Source organism: Homo sapiens, chromosome 1, assembly GCF_000001405.40.
Source record: "Homo sapiens chromosome 1, GRCh38.p14 Primary Assembly".
NCBI classification, from domain to species: Eukaryota; Metazoa; Chordata; class Mammalia; order Primates; family Hominidae; genus Homo; species Homo sapiens.
The window spans coordinates 17,463,348-17,478,206 of record NC_000001.11 but is presented as its reverse complement, the minus strand read 5'-3'; the positions used below and the strand labels follow the sequence as shown (position 1 = coordinate 17,478,206).

The following is a 14,859-nucleotide window of genomic DNA, read 5'->3' as shown; positions in this document are numbered from 1 at the left end:
GCATGCCTGTAATCCCAGCTACTCGGGAGGCTGAGGCAGGAGAATCGCTTGAACCCAGGAGGTGAAGGTTGTAGTGAGCCAAGATCATGCCACTGCACTCCAGCCTGGGCAACAGGAACGAAACTCTGTCTCAAAAAAAAAAAAAGAAAAAAGAAAAAAGAAAAAGAAACCCTGTCTCTACTAAAAAATACAAAAATTAGCCCGGTGTGTTGGTGCATGCCTGTTATCCCAGCTACTCGGGAGACAGAAGCAGGAGAATCACTTGAACCCAGGACGTGGAGGTTGCAGTGAGCCGAGATCACACCACTGCATTCCAGCCTGGGCGACAGAGCAAGACCCCGTCCTAAAAAACAAGAAAAATCAAGGCCACCAAAGCAAAACATGCCCACGCTGAGTCCATGCTCAGGCCCTGCAAGGAAATGCAGAGCAGCAGAGAAACACAACTGCGGTTCCTGAGGGCAGAGTCAGCGGGTTTCAAGGCTGAAAAGGGAGTCAGTTGCACTCTGCGAATGAGGCCTGGAAAACCAGTGCCCGGGAGAGGAACGAATGGGTCCACAGGTCTGAACACAGTTGGTCCTGTTGTTCATTGATCAGAAAAACTTCCATTAGTATCTGCTGAGATCCTGGCCATTCCAACTTCAGGATCTTTTATCAGCTTCAGCTCACTAGAGCCCCTTGTGGTGAAATACAACACTTAGGTTTGAAGGCTCCTAGAAAGTGCTGCTATAAATGGAAAAAATAATTTACAAAGTGAAGCGTCAATGGACAACCTTTCTTCTCCCTCAACCTCCTTTTCTGTAATTTTTTTTTTTTTTTTTTTTGAGACGGAGTCTCACTCTGTCACCCAGGCTGGAGTGCAGTAGGGCAATCTTGGCTCACTGCCACCTCCACCTCCTGAGTTCAAGCGATTCTCCTGCCTCAGCCTACTGAGCAGCTGGGACTACAGGCACACACCACCACGCCCAGCTAGTTTTTGTATTTTTTAGTAGAGATGGGGTTTCACCATATTGGCCAGGATGGTCTCGATATCTTGACCTCGTGATCCACCTGCCTCAGCCTCCCAAAGTGCTGGGATTACAGGTGTGAGCCACCGTGCCCAGTCAACCTTTTCTGTATTTTTCTACTTTCCCTTCAGTGATCCTCTGTATTATTTTAATATTTACAAGAGACAGCAGGGCGTGATATCTCACACCTGTAATCCCAGCACTTTGGGAGGCCGAAGTGGGCAGATGATTTGAGGTCAGGAGTTTGAGACCAGCCTGGCCAACATGGTGAAACCCCATCACTACTTCTGGTCCCAGCTACTCAGGAGGCTGAGGCAAGAGAATCGCTTGAACGGGGGAAGCGGAAGCAGAGGTTGCAGTGAGCCGAGATTGTGCCACTGCACTCCAGCCTGAGGGAGTGAGACCTTGTCTCAAAAACAAAAAAGTTTACAACAGACTTTCAAGAAACATCAGTTGCCAGACACGGTGTCTCACACTGATAATCCCAGCACTTTGGGAGGCAGCGGCAGGCAGATCACCTGAGATCAGGAATTCGAGACTAGCCTGGACAACATGGTGAAACTTCGTCTCTACAATAATACAAAAAATTAGCCAGGCATGGTGGCGTGTGCCTGTAATCCCAGATACTCAGGAGGCTGAGACAGGAGAATAGCTTGAACCCATGAGGCGGAGGTTGCAGTGAGCCGAGATCACGCCACTGCACTCCAGCTTGGGCGACAAGAGCAAGACTCTGTCAAAAAAGAAAAAAAAAAAAAAGAAACATCATCTTAGTGAGGAGGGTGACCTTCACTTACAGCCATGCTGTAACTGGTACCCCACAAGCCCTCTCATCTTAAGAAACCATTAAACTAAACTGGACAAAAGCCGTGAATGCCAGTCTTCAGGCACTGAACCACAGGCAGCACAAGCCTATGACCCCCGAGTGGAGGGAAACTCACAAGGTGAGACTTCACCCTCTGCCCCTCTCCCTACCCTCTTCCTGGGGACAGTTTTGTAATCACTGCACGGTGAGCTGGAGTCCAGGCAGAACTTAGTGTCCTGCTGAGCTGAGAAGGTGGAGTTAGCATTTGGGGCAGTGGAAATGGCTAGAAATGGTGGGACATGGTGCCAGAGAGGAGGAGTCTGTGCAGAAGGAGGCCCCGAGGTCTGGCAGGGGAGAGGAGGAATGTCCACTAAAAGTCCTTGACTAAGGGCTGGCTGAACATGCATGGGGGAAGATGACGCCAGGCCTCCAGATAGCATCTTCTGCAGGGTATAAGTGAAACAGGCTGGGCATAGTGACTCACACCTGTAATCGCAGATTCTCTCTTGCTCTGTCACTCAAGCTAGAGTGCTGCAATTACACAATCACAGGCCTCTGCTGCCTCAACATCCTAGGCTCCAGTAGCCCTCCCACCTCAGCCTCCTGAGTAGTTGGGACTGCAGGCATGTGCCACCATGTCCAGCTACTGTATTAATTTTTTTGTGTGTTTGTAGAGATGGGGCCCCACTATGTTGGACAGCCTGGTTTTGAACTGTTTCTTTTATTTTTTTGGAGACAGATCTTTGCTCTTTTTGCCCAGGCTGGAGTGCAATGGTGCGATCTCGGCTCACTGCAACCTCCGCCTCCCAGGTTCAAGCGATTCTTCTGCCTCAGCCTCCCAAGTAGCTGGGATTACAGGCACATGCCACCATGCCCAGCTAATTTTTTCTATTTTTAGTAGAGACGGGTTTCACCATGTTGGCCAGGCTGGTCTTGAACTCCTGACCTCAGGTGATCCGCTTGCCTCGGCCTCCCAAAGTATTGGGATTACAGGCAAGAGCCACCACGCCCAGCCCTGAACTCTTAAACTCAAGTAATCCTCTCACCGCAGGCTCCCAAAGTGCTGGAATTAGAGGCATGAGCCGCCCCACCCAGCCTGGAAAATGTATAGCTTTCAATGGTTATAATAGCAAAGAATGGTTACATTGGAGATGGTTATATTAAGAATCTAAGAGAACAATAGAAAATTAAACCCAAAGTAAGTAGAAGAAAATATATAGCTTGCAATGGTTATAATAGCAAAGAATGGTTATATTGGAGATGGTTATATAAAGAACCTAAGAGAACAACAGAAAATTAAACCCAAAGTAAGTAGAAGAAAAGAAACAATAAGGCTGGGCGCGGTGGCTCATGCCTGTAATCCTAGCTCTTTGGGAGGCCGAGGTGGGCGGAGTTCAAGACCAGCCCGGCCAATATGGTGAAACTCCCTCTCTACTAAAAAATACAAAAATTAGCGGGGCTCCGTGATGCGCACCTGTAGTCCCAGCTACTCGGGAGGCTGAGGCGGGAGAATCGCTGGAACCCGGGAGGTGGAGGTTGCAGTGAGCCGAGATCACGCCACTACACTCCAGCCTGGGCAACAGAGCGACACTCCATCTCAAAAAAAAAAAAAGAAAGAAAGAAAGAATAAAGATCAGAAATCAATGAATTAGAAAAAAGAAGAAAATAGAAAAAAATTATCAAAAACAAAAGTTGGGCCAGGTGAGGTGGCTCATGCTTGTAATCCCAGCTACTTGGGAGGCTGAGGCAGGAGAACCACTTGAACCTAAGAGGCAGAGGTTGCAGTGAGCTGAGGTCCTGCCACTACATTCCAGCCTGGGTGACAGAGTGAGACTCTGTCTCAAAACAAACAAACCAACCAACCCACAAAAGTTGGTTATTTGAAAAGATTCACAAAATTGATAAACCTCAAGCAAGACTAATCAAGAATACAAAAGTGAATTAGCCAGGCGTGGTGACACATGCCTATAATTCCAGCTACTCAGAGACTGACGCTAGTGAATCGCTTGAACCTGGGAGGTGGAGGTTGCAGTGGGGCAAAATTGCACCATTGCACTACAGCCTGGGTGACAGAGCAACACTCTGTCTCAAAAAACAAAAATAAAAAAAATTAAAAGTAGGCCCGGCATGGTGGCACACGCCTGTAATCCCAGCACTTTAGGAGGCTGAGGCGGGTGGATCACAAGTCAGGAGTTCGAGACCAGCCTGGCCAATATGGTGAAATCCCGTCTGTACTGAAAATACAAAAATTAGCTGGGCATGGCGGCATGCACATGTAGTCCCAGCTGCTTGGGAAACTGAGGCAGGAGAATGGCTTGAACCCAGGAGGCGGGGGTTGCAGTGAGCCGAGATTGCGCCATTGCACTCCAGCCTGGGGGACAAGAGCGAGACTTCGCCTCAAAAATAAATAAATAAATAAATATAAAAAAATTAAAAAGTAAAAACACAAATTCCTAATATCAGGAATGAAGGGATATTGTTATAGATCCTAACATATAATAAAATTTGTGCCAGCAGACATGGTGGCTCACATCTGTAATCGCAACACTTCAGGTGGCCATGACAGCAGGAGGATCAGTTGAGGCCAGGAGTTCAAGACTGGCCTGGGCAACATCGCCAGACCCCATCTCTACAAAAAAAAAAAAAAAAATTAACAGGGCGTGTTGGTGTGTCCTACAATCCCAGAGACTGTAGTGACCACAGGCACACATGACCAGAGTTGGCTAATTTAAAAAAAATTTTTTTTTTTTTTAAGACGCAGTCTCGCTCTGTCGCCCAGGCTGGAGTGCGGTGGCATGATCTCGGCTCACTGCAAGCTCTGCCTCCCAGGTTCACGCCATTCTCCTGCCTCAGCCTCCTGAGTAGCTGGGATTACAGGCGCCCGCCACCATGCCTGGCTAATTTTTGTATATTTAGTAGAGATGAGGTTTCACCATGTTCACCAGGCTGGTCTTGAACTTCTGACCTCAGGTGATCCACCTGCCTCAGCCTCCCAAAGTGCTAGGATTACAGGCATGAGCCACCACGCCCGGCCTCAGAATAATATTTGACCAAAGTTCTTGTTACCAGAAAGGGGTCCTGATGCAGACCCCAAGTTCCTGGATCTCTCCCAAGAAAGAATTCAGGGCGAGTCCGTACAGTAAAATGAAAGCAAATTTATTAGAAAAGTAAAGGAACAAAGAATAGGTACTCCACAGGCAAAGCAGCCCTGAGGGTTGCTGGTTGCCCATTTTGATGGTTATTTATTAATTATGTGCTAAACAAGAGGTGGATTATTCATGTTTCTCCTTTTTAGACTTTATACAGTAACTGCCTGTCGTTGCCATGGCATTTGTAAACTGTCAGGTCACTGGTGGGAGTGTAGCAGTGAGGACGACCAGAGGTCATTCTTATCGCCATCTTGGTTTTGGTGGGTTTTAGCTGGCTTCTTTACTGCAAACCTGTTTTATCAGTAAGGTCTTTATGACCTGTATCTTGTGCCAATCTCCTATCTCATGCTGTGACTTAGAATGCCTTAAACGGGCCAAGTGCTGTGGCTCAGGCCTGTAATCCCAGCACTTCGGGAGGCCAAGGCCAGTGGATCCCTTGAGGTCAGGAGTTCAAGATCAGCCTGGCCAACCCCGTGAAACCCCCGTCTCTAGTGAAAATACAAAAATTAGCCAGGTGTAGTGATGTATGCCTGTAGTCCCAGCTACATGGGGGTGCTGAGGCAAAAGAATTGCTTGATCCCGGGACGTGGAGATCATGCCACTGCACTCCAGCCTGGGCAACAGAGAGAGACTCTGTCTCAAAGAAAAAAAAAATGCCTTGGCCGGGCGCGGTGGCTCACGCCTGTAATCCCAGCACTTTGAGAGGCCGAGGCAGGTGAATCACCTGAGGTCAGGAGTTCAACACCAGCTTGGCCATTGTGGGGAAACCCTGTCTCTACAAAAGATATAAAAATTAGCCAGGCGTGGTGGCAAGCGCCTGTAGTCCCAGCTACTCGGGAGGCTGAGGCAGGAGAATGGTGTGAACCCGGGAGGCGGAGCTTGCAGTGAGCTGAGATTGTGCCACTGCACTCCAGCCTGGGCGACAGAGCTAGACTCCGTCTCAAAATAATAATAATAATAATAATAATAATAAAGTAAAATAATTAACCTGGACTCTTATTTCACACCTTACACAAAAACAGAATTTTTTTTTTTTTTTTTGAGACGGAGTTTCCCTCTGTTGCCCAGGCTGGAGTGCAGTGGCACGATGTCGGCTCACTGCAACCTCTGCCTCTTGGGTTCCAGCAGTTCTTCTGCCTCAGCCTCCCAAGTAGCTGGAACTACAGGCATGCGCCACCATGCCTGGCTAGTTTTTGTATTTTTAGTAGAGACAGGGTTTCACCATCATGGTCAGGCTGGTCTGGGCTTGAACTCCTGACCTTGTGATCTGCCCATCTCGGCCTCCCAAAGTGCTGGGATTACAGGTGTGAGCCACCATGCCTGGCCGAATTCTCTTTTTAAAAAAATAGTGTCTCCACCAGGCACAGTGGCTCACACGTATAATCCCAGCACTTTGGGAAGGTGAGGATTGCTTGAGCCCAGGAGTTTGAGACCAGTGTGGGCAACATGCCAAAGTCACATCTTTATAAAAAATACAAAAATTAGCTGGGTGTGGTGGCACATGCCTGAAATCCCAGCTTCTAGGGAGGCTGTGGTGGGAGGTTTGCTTGAGCCCAGGAGGTCAAGGCCACAGTGAGCTATGATCATGTGACAGAGTGAGACTCCATGTCCGAAAAAAAGAAAAAAAGAAATGAGGGTCTTGCTCTGTTGCCCAGGCTAGACTACAGTGGTGCAATCATAGGTCACTGCAGCCTTGAGTTCCTGGGCTAAAACAATCCTATGAACTCAGCCTCTTGAGTAGCTGAGACTACAGACGACCACCACCATGCCTGGCTAATTTTTAAATGTTTTGCAGAGACTAGGTCTCACTATGTTGCCTAGGCTGGTCTGGAACTCCTGGTCTCAAGTGATCCTCCCTTCTTGGCATCCCAAAGTGCTGGGATTATAGGCATGAGCCACCACACCCAGCCCCATTTTTTTAAATGGGCAATACACTTGAACAGACATTTCACAAAACAAAGTAGATGAGTATGCCATAAGTACACGAAAAGATGTTCTATATCATTAGTTATCAAGGAAATGCAAATTAAATCACAATGATCAAATTAAAATCAAAATCACTTCTACTAGAATGGTTATAATTTAAAACATTTTGCCAAAACACCATGACTCACACCTGTAACCTCAGCCCTTTGGCAGGCCAAGGCCGGAGGATTGCTTGAGCCCAGGAGTTCAAGACCAGCCTAGGCAACACAGTGAGACTCTGTCTCTACAAAAAATTTAAAAATTAAAAAAAAACAAAATTAGCCAAGCATAGTGGTGCACACCTGTAGTCCCAGCTGCTCTGGAGGCTGTGGTGGGAGGATCACTTGAGCCCTGAAGGTTGAAGCTGCAGTGAGCCAAGACTGTGCCACTGTACTCCAGCCTAGGTGACAGTGGGAGATTCTGACTGAAAAACAAAAAACAAAAAACAGATTTACAGTATCAAGTGTTGTAGAGGATTAGGAGCAAATAGAACATTCATAATTTGCTGGTGAGTATGCAATATAGTACAACCTCTTTGGAAATAGTTTGTCAATTTCCAATACACACACTTACCGTAAGACTCACCAATCTCACTCCTAGATATTTATATGAGAATTGATACCATGTGGCTACACAGGACTTTTACCTGAATATTCATCACTGCTGTGTGCATAAGAGCCCCAAACTGGAAAGAATCCGGATGTCCATCAACAGGAGAATGGATAAACAAATCGTGGTTTATCTGTACAGCGTGGAAAACTTGCGGGAGGCCAGAAATACGCCACCCCAAAATAAGACTGCGGGAGACCAGAATATGCCACCCCAAAATATGCCTCATTGGCATAAGGATTATTTAGAGCTGATTATTTTGAGAAACTGCAGACACAAGAGGAGCTCTAAAAACAGAGTAGGAGTTACTCTTTTGTAAGGAAAATTTGCATCTCTAAAGGAAACCTCCATTTGAAAGAGTATCTCCCTCTCCATATCAGGAAGAGAAGAATGACTCTAAATTACTAGAAACTCTTATCAATGGAGAAAGCATCAGTTGCAATCTGCATAACAAACCCTTGTTTGCTGAGCTTTTTCTGGTCATCGCTCCATAGCTGCCCTCCACTTCCACACACCTTTCTTTCTTTTTTTTCTTTCTTTTTTTTTTTTTTTTTGAGAAGGAATCCTGCTCTGTCTCCCAAGCTAGAGTGCAGTGGCGTGATCTCGACTCACTGCAACCTCCGCCCCACCTCCCAGGTTCAAGCAATTCTCCTGCCTCAGCCTTCCGAGTAGCTGGGATTATAGGCGCCCACCACCACACCCGGCTAATTTTTGTATTTTTAGTAGAGACAGAGTTTCGCCATGTTGGCCAGGCTCCTGACCTCAGGTGATCCACCCGCCTCGGCCTCCCAAAGTGCTAGGATTACAGGCGTGAGCCACTGCGCCATGCCTCTTTTTTTTTTTTTTTTTTTTTTTTTGAGGAGTCCGTCTCTGTCGCCAGGCTGGAGTGCAGTGGCTTGATCTCGGCTCACTGTCTCTGCCTCCTGGGTTCAAGCAATTCTCCTGCCTCAGCCTCCCAAGTAACTGGGATTACAGGTGCCCGCCACCATGCCTGGCTAATTTTTGTATTTTTAGTAGTGACGGAGTTTCACCATGTTGGCCAAGCTGGTCTTGAACCCCTGACATCAGGTGATCTGCTCGCCTCCATCTCCCAAAGTGCAGGGACTAGGGGCCTGAGCCACCGCGCCCGGCCCCCCCCACCCCCACCCCCACCCCCTTCTTCATGTTAGTTGAAGATAGTATTTAAGCCAACAAAGCAAAGCCACTTCTTGGAGATTTCCCCTTTTCTCTGGGCTTCCCCCACGTATACATAAGGTAAACATCTTAATCAACTTGTGTTGTTTTTCCCTATTTAACCTGCCTCTTGTTACAGGAGAGGGCTCCAGCTTCCTTCCCTGTCCTGTACACTGTGAAAAACTTCTCATCAATAAAAAGGAGTGGATTCAGCCTAGTGCGGTGGCTCACGTCTGTAATCCCAGCACTTTGAGAGACCAAGGCGGGCGGATCACCTGAGGTCAGGAGTCCGAGACCAGGCTGGCCAACAGGGAGAAACCCCGTATCTACTAAAAATACAAAAATTAGCTGGGCGTGGTGGCACATGCCTGTAATCCCAACTATCCTGGAGGCTGAGGCATGAGAACGGCTTGAACCCGGGAGGCAGAGGTTGCAGTAAGTCGAGGTCATGCCACTGCACTCCAGCCTGGGCAGATAGTGAGACAGTGAGATCCTATCTCAAAAAAATAAATAAGGGCAGGCACAGTGGCTCATGCCTGTAATCCCAGCATTTTGAGAGGCCAAGGTGGGTGGGTCACTTGAGCTCAGGAGTTAGAGACCAGCATGGCCAACATGGTGAAACCCGGTCTCTACCAAAAGATACAAAAAATAGCTAGGCATTGTGACGCGTACCTGTAATCCCAGCTGCTCAGGAGGCTGAGGCAGGAGAATTGCTTGAACCTGGGAGGCGGAGGTTGCAGTGAGCTGAGATAGTGCCACTGCACTCCAGCCTAGGTGACAGAGTGAGACTCTGCCTCAAAATAAATAAATAAATAAATAAAGTTTTAGGACAGGCAAAACTGAGCCATAGTGATAGAAATCAGAACAGAGGTTGCCCAGGGGAAGAGGGTGGGAGAAGAGAGATAGCAAAGGAGCTGGAGGAAACACCCTTGGGTCCTGGACATGCTCCACATATGACAGTTAGATGAATGCTCATATTTCTCAAGAGTCATGGCAGAGCGTGGTGGCTTATGCCTGAGATCCCAGCACTGTGGGAGGCTGAGGCGGGCAGGTCATTTGCGGTCAGGAGTTCGAGACCAGAGTGGCCAACATGGTGAAACCCCATCTCTATTAAAAATACAGAAATTAGCTGAGCATGGTGGGGGCATGCCTGTAGTTCCAGCTACTGGGGAGGCTGAGGCAGAAGAATCGCTTGAACCTGGGAGGTGAAGGCTGTGGTGAGCGGAGATCACGCCACTGCACTCCAGCCTGGGCAGCAGAGAGAGACCCTGTGTCAAAAAAAAAAAAAAATGAATCATGAACTGTACACTTAAAATGTGTGCACGCATTTTATGAGTAAATCATGCCTCAACATTTAAAAGAATGAAGAAACAAGGCCGGGCATGGTGGCTCATGCCTGTAATCCCAGCCCTTGGGAGGCTGAGGCGGGTGGATCACCTGAAGTCAGGAGTTCGAGACCAGGATGGACAACCTGGTGAGACCCTGTCTCTACTAAAAATACAAAAAATTAGCCGGGCGTGGTGATGCACGCCTGTAATACCAGCTACTCGAGAGGCTGAGGCAGGAGAATCACTTGAACCTAGGAGGCAGAGATTGTAGTGAGCGGAGATTGTACCACTGCACTCCAGCCTGGGCAACAGAGTGTGAGTCCCTCTGTCTCAAAAAAAAAAAAAAAGAAGAAGAAGAAATGTCATATCAGTATGTAACATAGCAGAGGCATTCTGTTTTTGTTTTTTTACAATAAAGTGTGCTCACAAGATGCCAGGAAAACCCAACATATCTGCTTTGAGAGTACGGTTGGCAAGTTTTCTCACAGGTTGGAGGAGCTGGTTATGGAATTTACAAAGGGACACATGAATGGGTTCTTGTGTGCCAGGCAGGCTGCCTGAGAAGTGCATTACAGATATTACTTAATACTTAAAGCCAGGCATGGTGGCTGATGCCTGTAGTCTCATCAGTTTGGGAGGCTGAGGCGGGTGGATTGCTTGAGCTCAGGAGTTCGAGACTAGCCTGGGCAACATGAAGAAACCCCGTCTCTATTCTTGAAAAATTATTATTATTATTTACTATTATTATTATTATTATTATTTGAGATGGAGTCTCACTCTATTGCCCAGGCTGGAGTGCAGTGGCGGGATCTCAGCTCAGTGCAACCTCCACCTCCCGGGTTCAAGCAATTATCCTGCCTCAGCCTCCCAAGTAGCTGGGATTACAGGTGTGCACCACCACACCCAGCTAATTTTTGTATTTTTAGTAGAGACGGGATTTCACCATGTTGGCCAGGCTGATCTCGATCTTGCGTCTTCAGGTGATCCACCTGCCTCTGCCTCCCAAAGTGTTAGGATTACAGGCGTGAGCCACTGCACCTGGCAAAAATTTAAAAATAAAAAAAAAAATTATTTAATACTTAGAAGAAGACTGAGGTCAAGAATTTGTTATTCCCATTTTACAGAAGGGGAAAATAAGGCACAGAAGTTCAGTAGCTCAATGTAGCTCAGAAATGGGAGCCAGGGCCAGGTGCAGTGGCCCATGCCTATAATCCCAGCACTTTGGGAGGCCAAGGCAGGCAGATCATCTAAGGTCAGAAGTTCGAGACCAGCCTGGCCAACATGGCGAAACTCCATCTCTACTTAAAAATACAACAATTAGCTGGGCGTGGTGGTGCACACCTGTAGTCCCAGCTGCTTGGGAGGCTGAGGCATGAGAATTGCCTGAACCTTGGAGGCAGAGGTTGCAGTAAGTGGAGATCATGACACTGCACTCCAGGCTAAGTGACAGAGCAAGACTCTGTCCCAAAGAAAAAAAAAAAAAAGACTGGACTGGGCCCCTGAGTCAGGAACAGTGTGGGGAAGATTCCAGCAAGGCAGGGGATGACATCTTGAAGACGGGACAGCGCTCCCTACCCCTGTACCTGAGCAAATCCACTTTCCCTCCCGAATCCCACCCACCTGTTCTGGGCCCCGCCTCTCAGATTCCTCTGAAGGTTGACAGATACAATAGCCCAAAACATGCCACTTTGCAATGAGGATCCTGTTGAGCTGAAAGCAACTGAGAAGAAGCAGATAGAAGAAAAGCTCTCTCTGCCAGGGTCGGTGGCTCCCACCTGTAATCCCAGCACTTTGGGAGACCAAGGCGGGTGGATCACCTGAGGTCAGGAGTTTGAGACCAGCCTGACCAACATGGAGTAATCCCGTCTCTACTAAAAATACAAAATTAGCCGGGCGTGGTGGCACGTGCCTGTAATCCCAGCTACTCGAGAGGCTGAGGTAGGAGAATCGCTTGAACCCTGGAGGAGAAGGTTGCAGTGAGCCGAGATAGCACCATTGCACTCCAGCGTGGGCAACAAGAGCAAAACTCATCTCAAAAAAAAAAAAAAAAAGAAAGAAAGAAAGAAAAAGAAAGAAAAGCAGGCCAGGCGCAGTGGCTCATGATGTATGAGAGGCTTGGCCAGGGACAGTATAAGAACAGGCACAGGCCAGGTGTGGTGGCTCACGCCTGTAATCCCAGCACTTTGGGAGGCCGAGGCGGGTGGATCAGGAAGTCAGGAGTTAGAGACCCGCCTGGCCAACATGGTGAAAACCCATCTCTACTAAAAATACAAATATGTGCCGGGCGTGGTGGCACAGGTCTGTAATCCCAGCTACTCGGGAGGCTGAGGCAGGCGAACTGCTTGAACCCGAGAGGTGGAGGTTGCAGTGAGCTGAGATTGCACCATTGCACTCCAGCCTGGGCAACAAGAGCAAGATTCCGTCTCAAAAAAAAAAAAAAAAAAAAGAAGAAGAAAAGCTCTCTGCCCTTCCCGTAGCTGCCAAAAAGCAAGACATAAATTTATAAATGTGCCCACCCCGCAAAAAAAACCACCAGGAAGGACAAAAGTTGATCCCAGAGACACCTCCAGACCCTAAACTTCCTGGGGCCCAGAGGAGTAGACTTAACCGACTCCACTCCTAGCTCCCATCTTCCATTCATCCCCCATATATTGACCCTCTCACGATTTGCTGCCCTAGTGCTTTCCCTTCGTCTTTTCACTTCACTAAAATGTATTCTTCTTTTGTTAAGTTGCTACATAAACCCCAGTTCTAACCACCCTCTTGAGTCACTTACCTCTGAGTACTCCCATGTACAAGTGTCATAATCAACTTCTGTTTATTTTTCTCTTGCCAATCTGTCTTTTGTTAGTCTAATGAATAGGGTCCCAGCCAAAGAATCTAAGATGGGTACACGCCCTACCCACCTTCCTTCTCTCTTCCTCAAGATTCCGAGCGCTCACTGCTATTTAATCATCTCTACCTGTGCCTGTTCTCTTTTTTTTTTTTTTTTGAGATGGAGTTTTCTCTTGTTGCCCATTTTTGAGTGCAGTGTTGTGATCTCAGCTCACTGCAACCTCCACCTCCCAGGTTCAAGCGATTCTCCTGCCTCAGCCTCCCAAGTAGCTGGGATTACAGGTGCACACCACCATCCCCAGCTAATTTTTGTATTTTTAGTAGAGACAGGGTTTCACCATGTTGGCCAAGCTGGTCTTGAACTCCTGACCTCGGGTGATCCACCCACCTTGGCTTCCCAAAGTGCTGGGATGACAGGCGTGAGCCACCGCACCTGGCCTGTGCCTGTTCTTATACTGTCCCTGGCCAAGCCTCTCATACTCCACCATAGTTTCCTCATCTGTGAAACGGGGATTTCAGGAGTACCCACTTCCTGGGCACATATGTGAGGCATGAGGACTAAACTCTGATTTTTTGTTTTTGTTTTTTTTGAGACGTTGTCTGGCTCTGTCGCCCAGGCTGGAGTGCAGTGGCACAATCTCAGCTCACTGCAAGCTCCACCTCCTGGGTTCACACCATTCTCCTGCTTCAGCCTCCCGAGTAGCTGGGATTACAGGTGCCCGCCACCACGCCCGGCTAATTTTTTGTATTTTTAGTAGAGACGGGGTTTCACCATGTTAGCCAGGATGGTCTCGATCTCCTGACCTCGTGATCTGCTTGCCTCGGCCTCCCAAAGTGCTGGGATTACAGGCGTGAGCCACCGCGCCCGGCCTAAACTCTGATTTTTATCTTGCCCAAATTCCTATCTAAGGGGTCTGGGGAGCCATGCCCTACAAATCATAAATTCTCTTCAGATGGGTTTTATTTAACCCTAGGTATTGTGACTGACTTTCCAACCTGACTGACTCTGGCATAACATTATGAGACAAGGAAGAACATCAAAATATTTTACCCCAAAACATGTTTCTTTGTCATATTTTGAAATGTCCCTACAAAGCTGTTCCTTGCTAGGGAAAATTTGCATCTGTAAAGAATCTCTATTAACATAGCTAGATCTTTTTCTTCCAGAACCTCACAATCCTATAGAGATTAACTAAGATCTGAATAGGAAACATTTGCCATTTATTGTCTCTAAAAGCAGCCACTATAAGACTTCAAAAGAACTTTGGTGTCCACAATATTTATCTTTTTTTTTTTTTTTCCTGAGATGGAGGTTTGCTCTTGCTGCCCAGGCTGGAGTGCAATGGCATCATCTCGGCTCACCGCAACCTCCACCTCCCGAGTTCAAGCGATTCTCCTGCCTCAGCCTCCCGAGTAGCTGGGATTACAGGCATGTAACACCACACCCGGCTAATTTTGTATTTTTATAGAGACAGGGTTTCTCCATGTTGGCCAGGCTGGTCTCAAACTCCTGACCTCAGGTGATCTGCCTGCCTTGGCCTCCCAAAGTGCTGGGATTGGGCCACTGTGCCTGGGCTCACAGTATTTATCTTATCCTGAACATTCCCTTTCTATGAATCCCAGGTCTTTGGACAAATTCAACCAATTGTCAACCAGAAAGTGTTTAAATTCACCTATAGCCTGGAAGCAACCCCGCCCTGCTTCGAGTTGTCCTAACTTTCTAGACCAAGCCAATGTAGTTCTTAAGTGTATTTAATTGGTGTCTCATGTCTCTCAAAAATGTATAAAAACAACTTGCACTCCAGCCACCTTGGGCACACATCTCAGGACCTCCTGAGGGCTTTTGTCACGGGCCATGGTCACTCATATTTGGCTCAGAATAAATCTCTTCAAATATTTTACAGGGTCTGACTCTTTGTTGGCATGCATATATAAAGAAGTTTGTCGGGCGCTGTGGCTCACGCCTGTAATCCCAGCACTTTGAAAGGCCGAGG

The 14,859-nt window shown here is 47.6% G+C and overlaps 4 annotated features.

The window, feature by feature from the left end:
• Positions 7,637-8,290: an enhancer, noted in NCBI's record as "OCT4-NANOG-H3K27ac-H3K4me1 hESC enhancer chr1:17796413-17797066 (GRCh37/hg19 assembly coordinates)". NCBI's record gives its function as "activates a minimal SCP1, AML or CMV promoter by ChIP-STARR-seq in naive and primed H9 embryonic stem cells {active_cell/tissue: H9 hESC(naive and primed)}" and the evidence as "EXISTENCE:reporter gene assay evidence [ECO:0000049][PMID:30033119]".
• Positions 8,291-8,944: an enhancer, noted in NCBI's record as "NANOG-H3K27ac-H3K4me1 hESC enhancer chr1:17795759-17796412 (GRCh37/hg19 assembly coordinates)". NCBI's record gives its function as "activates a minimal SCP1, AML or CMV promoter by ChIP-STARR-seq in primed H9 embryonic stem cells {active_cell/tissue: H9 hESC(primed)}" and the evidence as "EXISTENCE:reporter gene assay evidence [ECO:0000049][PMID:30033119]".
• Positions 8,945-9,598: an enhancer, noted in NCBI's record as "H3K27ac-H3K4me1 hESC enhancer chr1:17795105-17795758 (GRCh37/hg19 assembly coordinates)". NCBI's record gives its function as "activates a minimal SCP1, AML or CMV promoter by ChIP-STARR-seq in naive H9 embryonic stem cells {active_cell/tissue: H9 hESC(naive)}" and the evidence as "EXISTENCE:reporter gene assay evidence [ECO:0000049][PMID:30033119]".
• Positions 9,599-10,254: an enhancer, noted in NCBI's record as "H3K27ac-H3K4me1 hESC enhancer chr1:17794449-17795104 (GRCh37/hg19 assembly coordinates)". NCBI's record gives its function as "activates a minimal SCP1, AML or CMV promoter by ChIP-STARR-seq in primed H9 embryonic stem cells {active_cell/tissue: H9 hESC(primed)}" and the evidence as "EXISTENCE:reporter gene assay evidence [ECO:0000049][PMID:30033119]".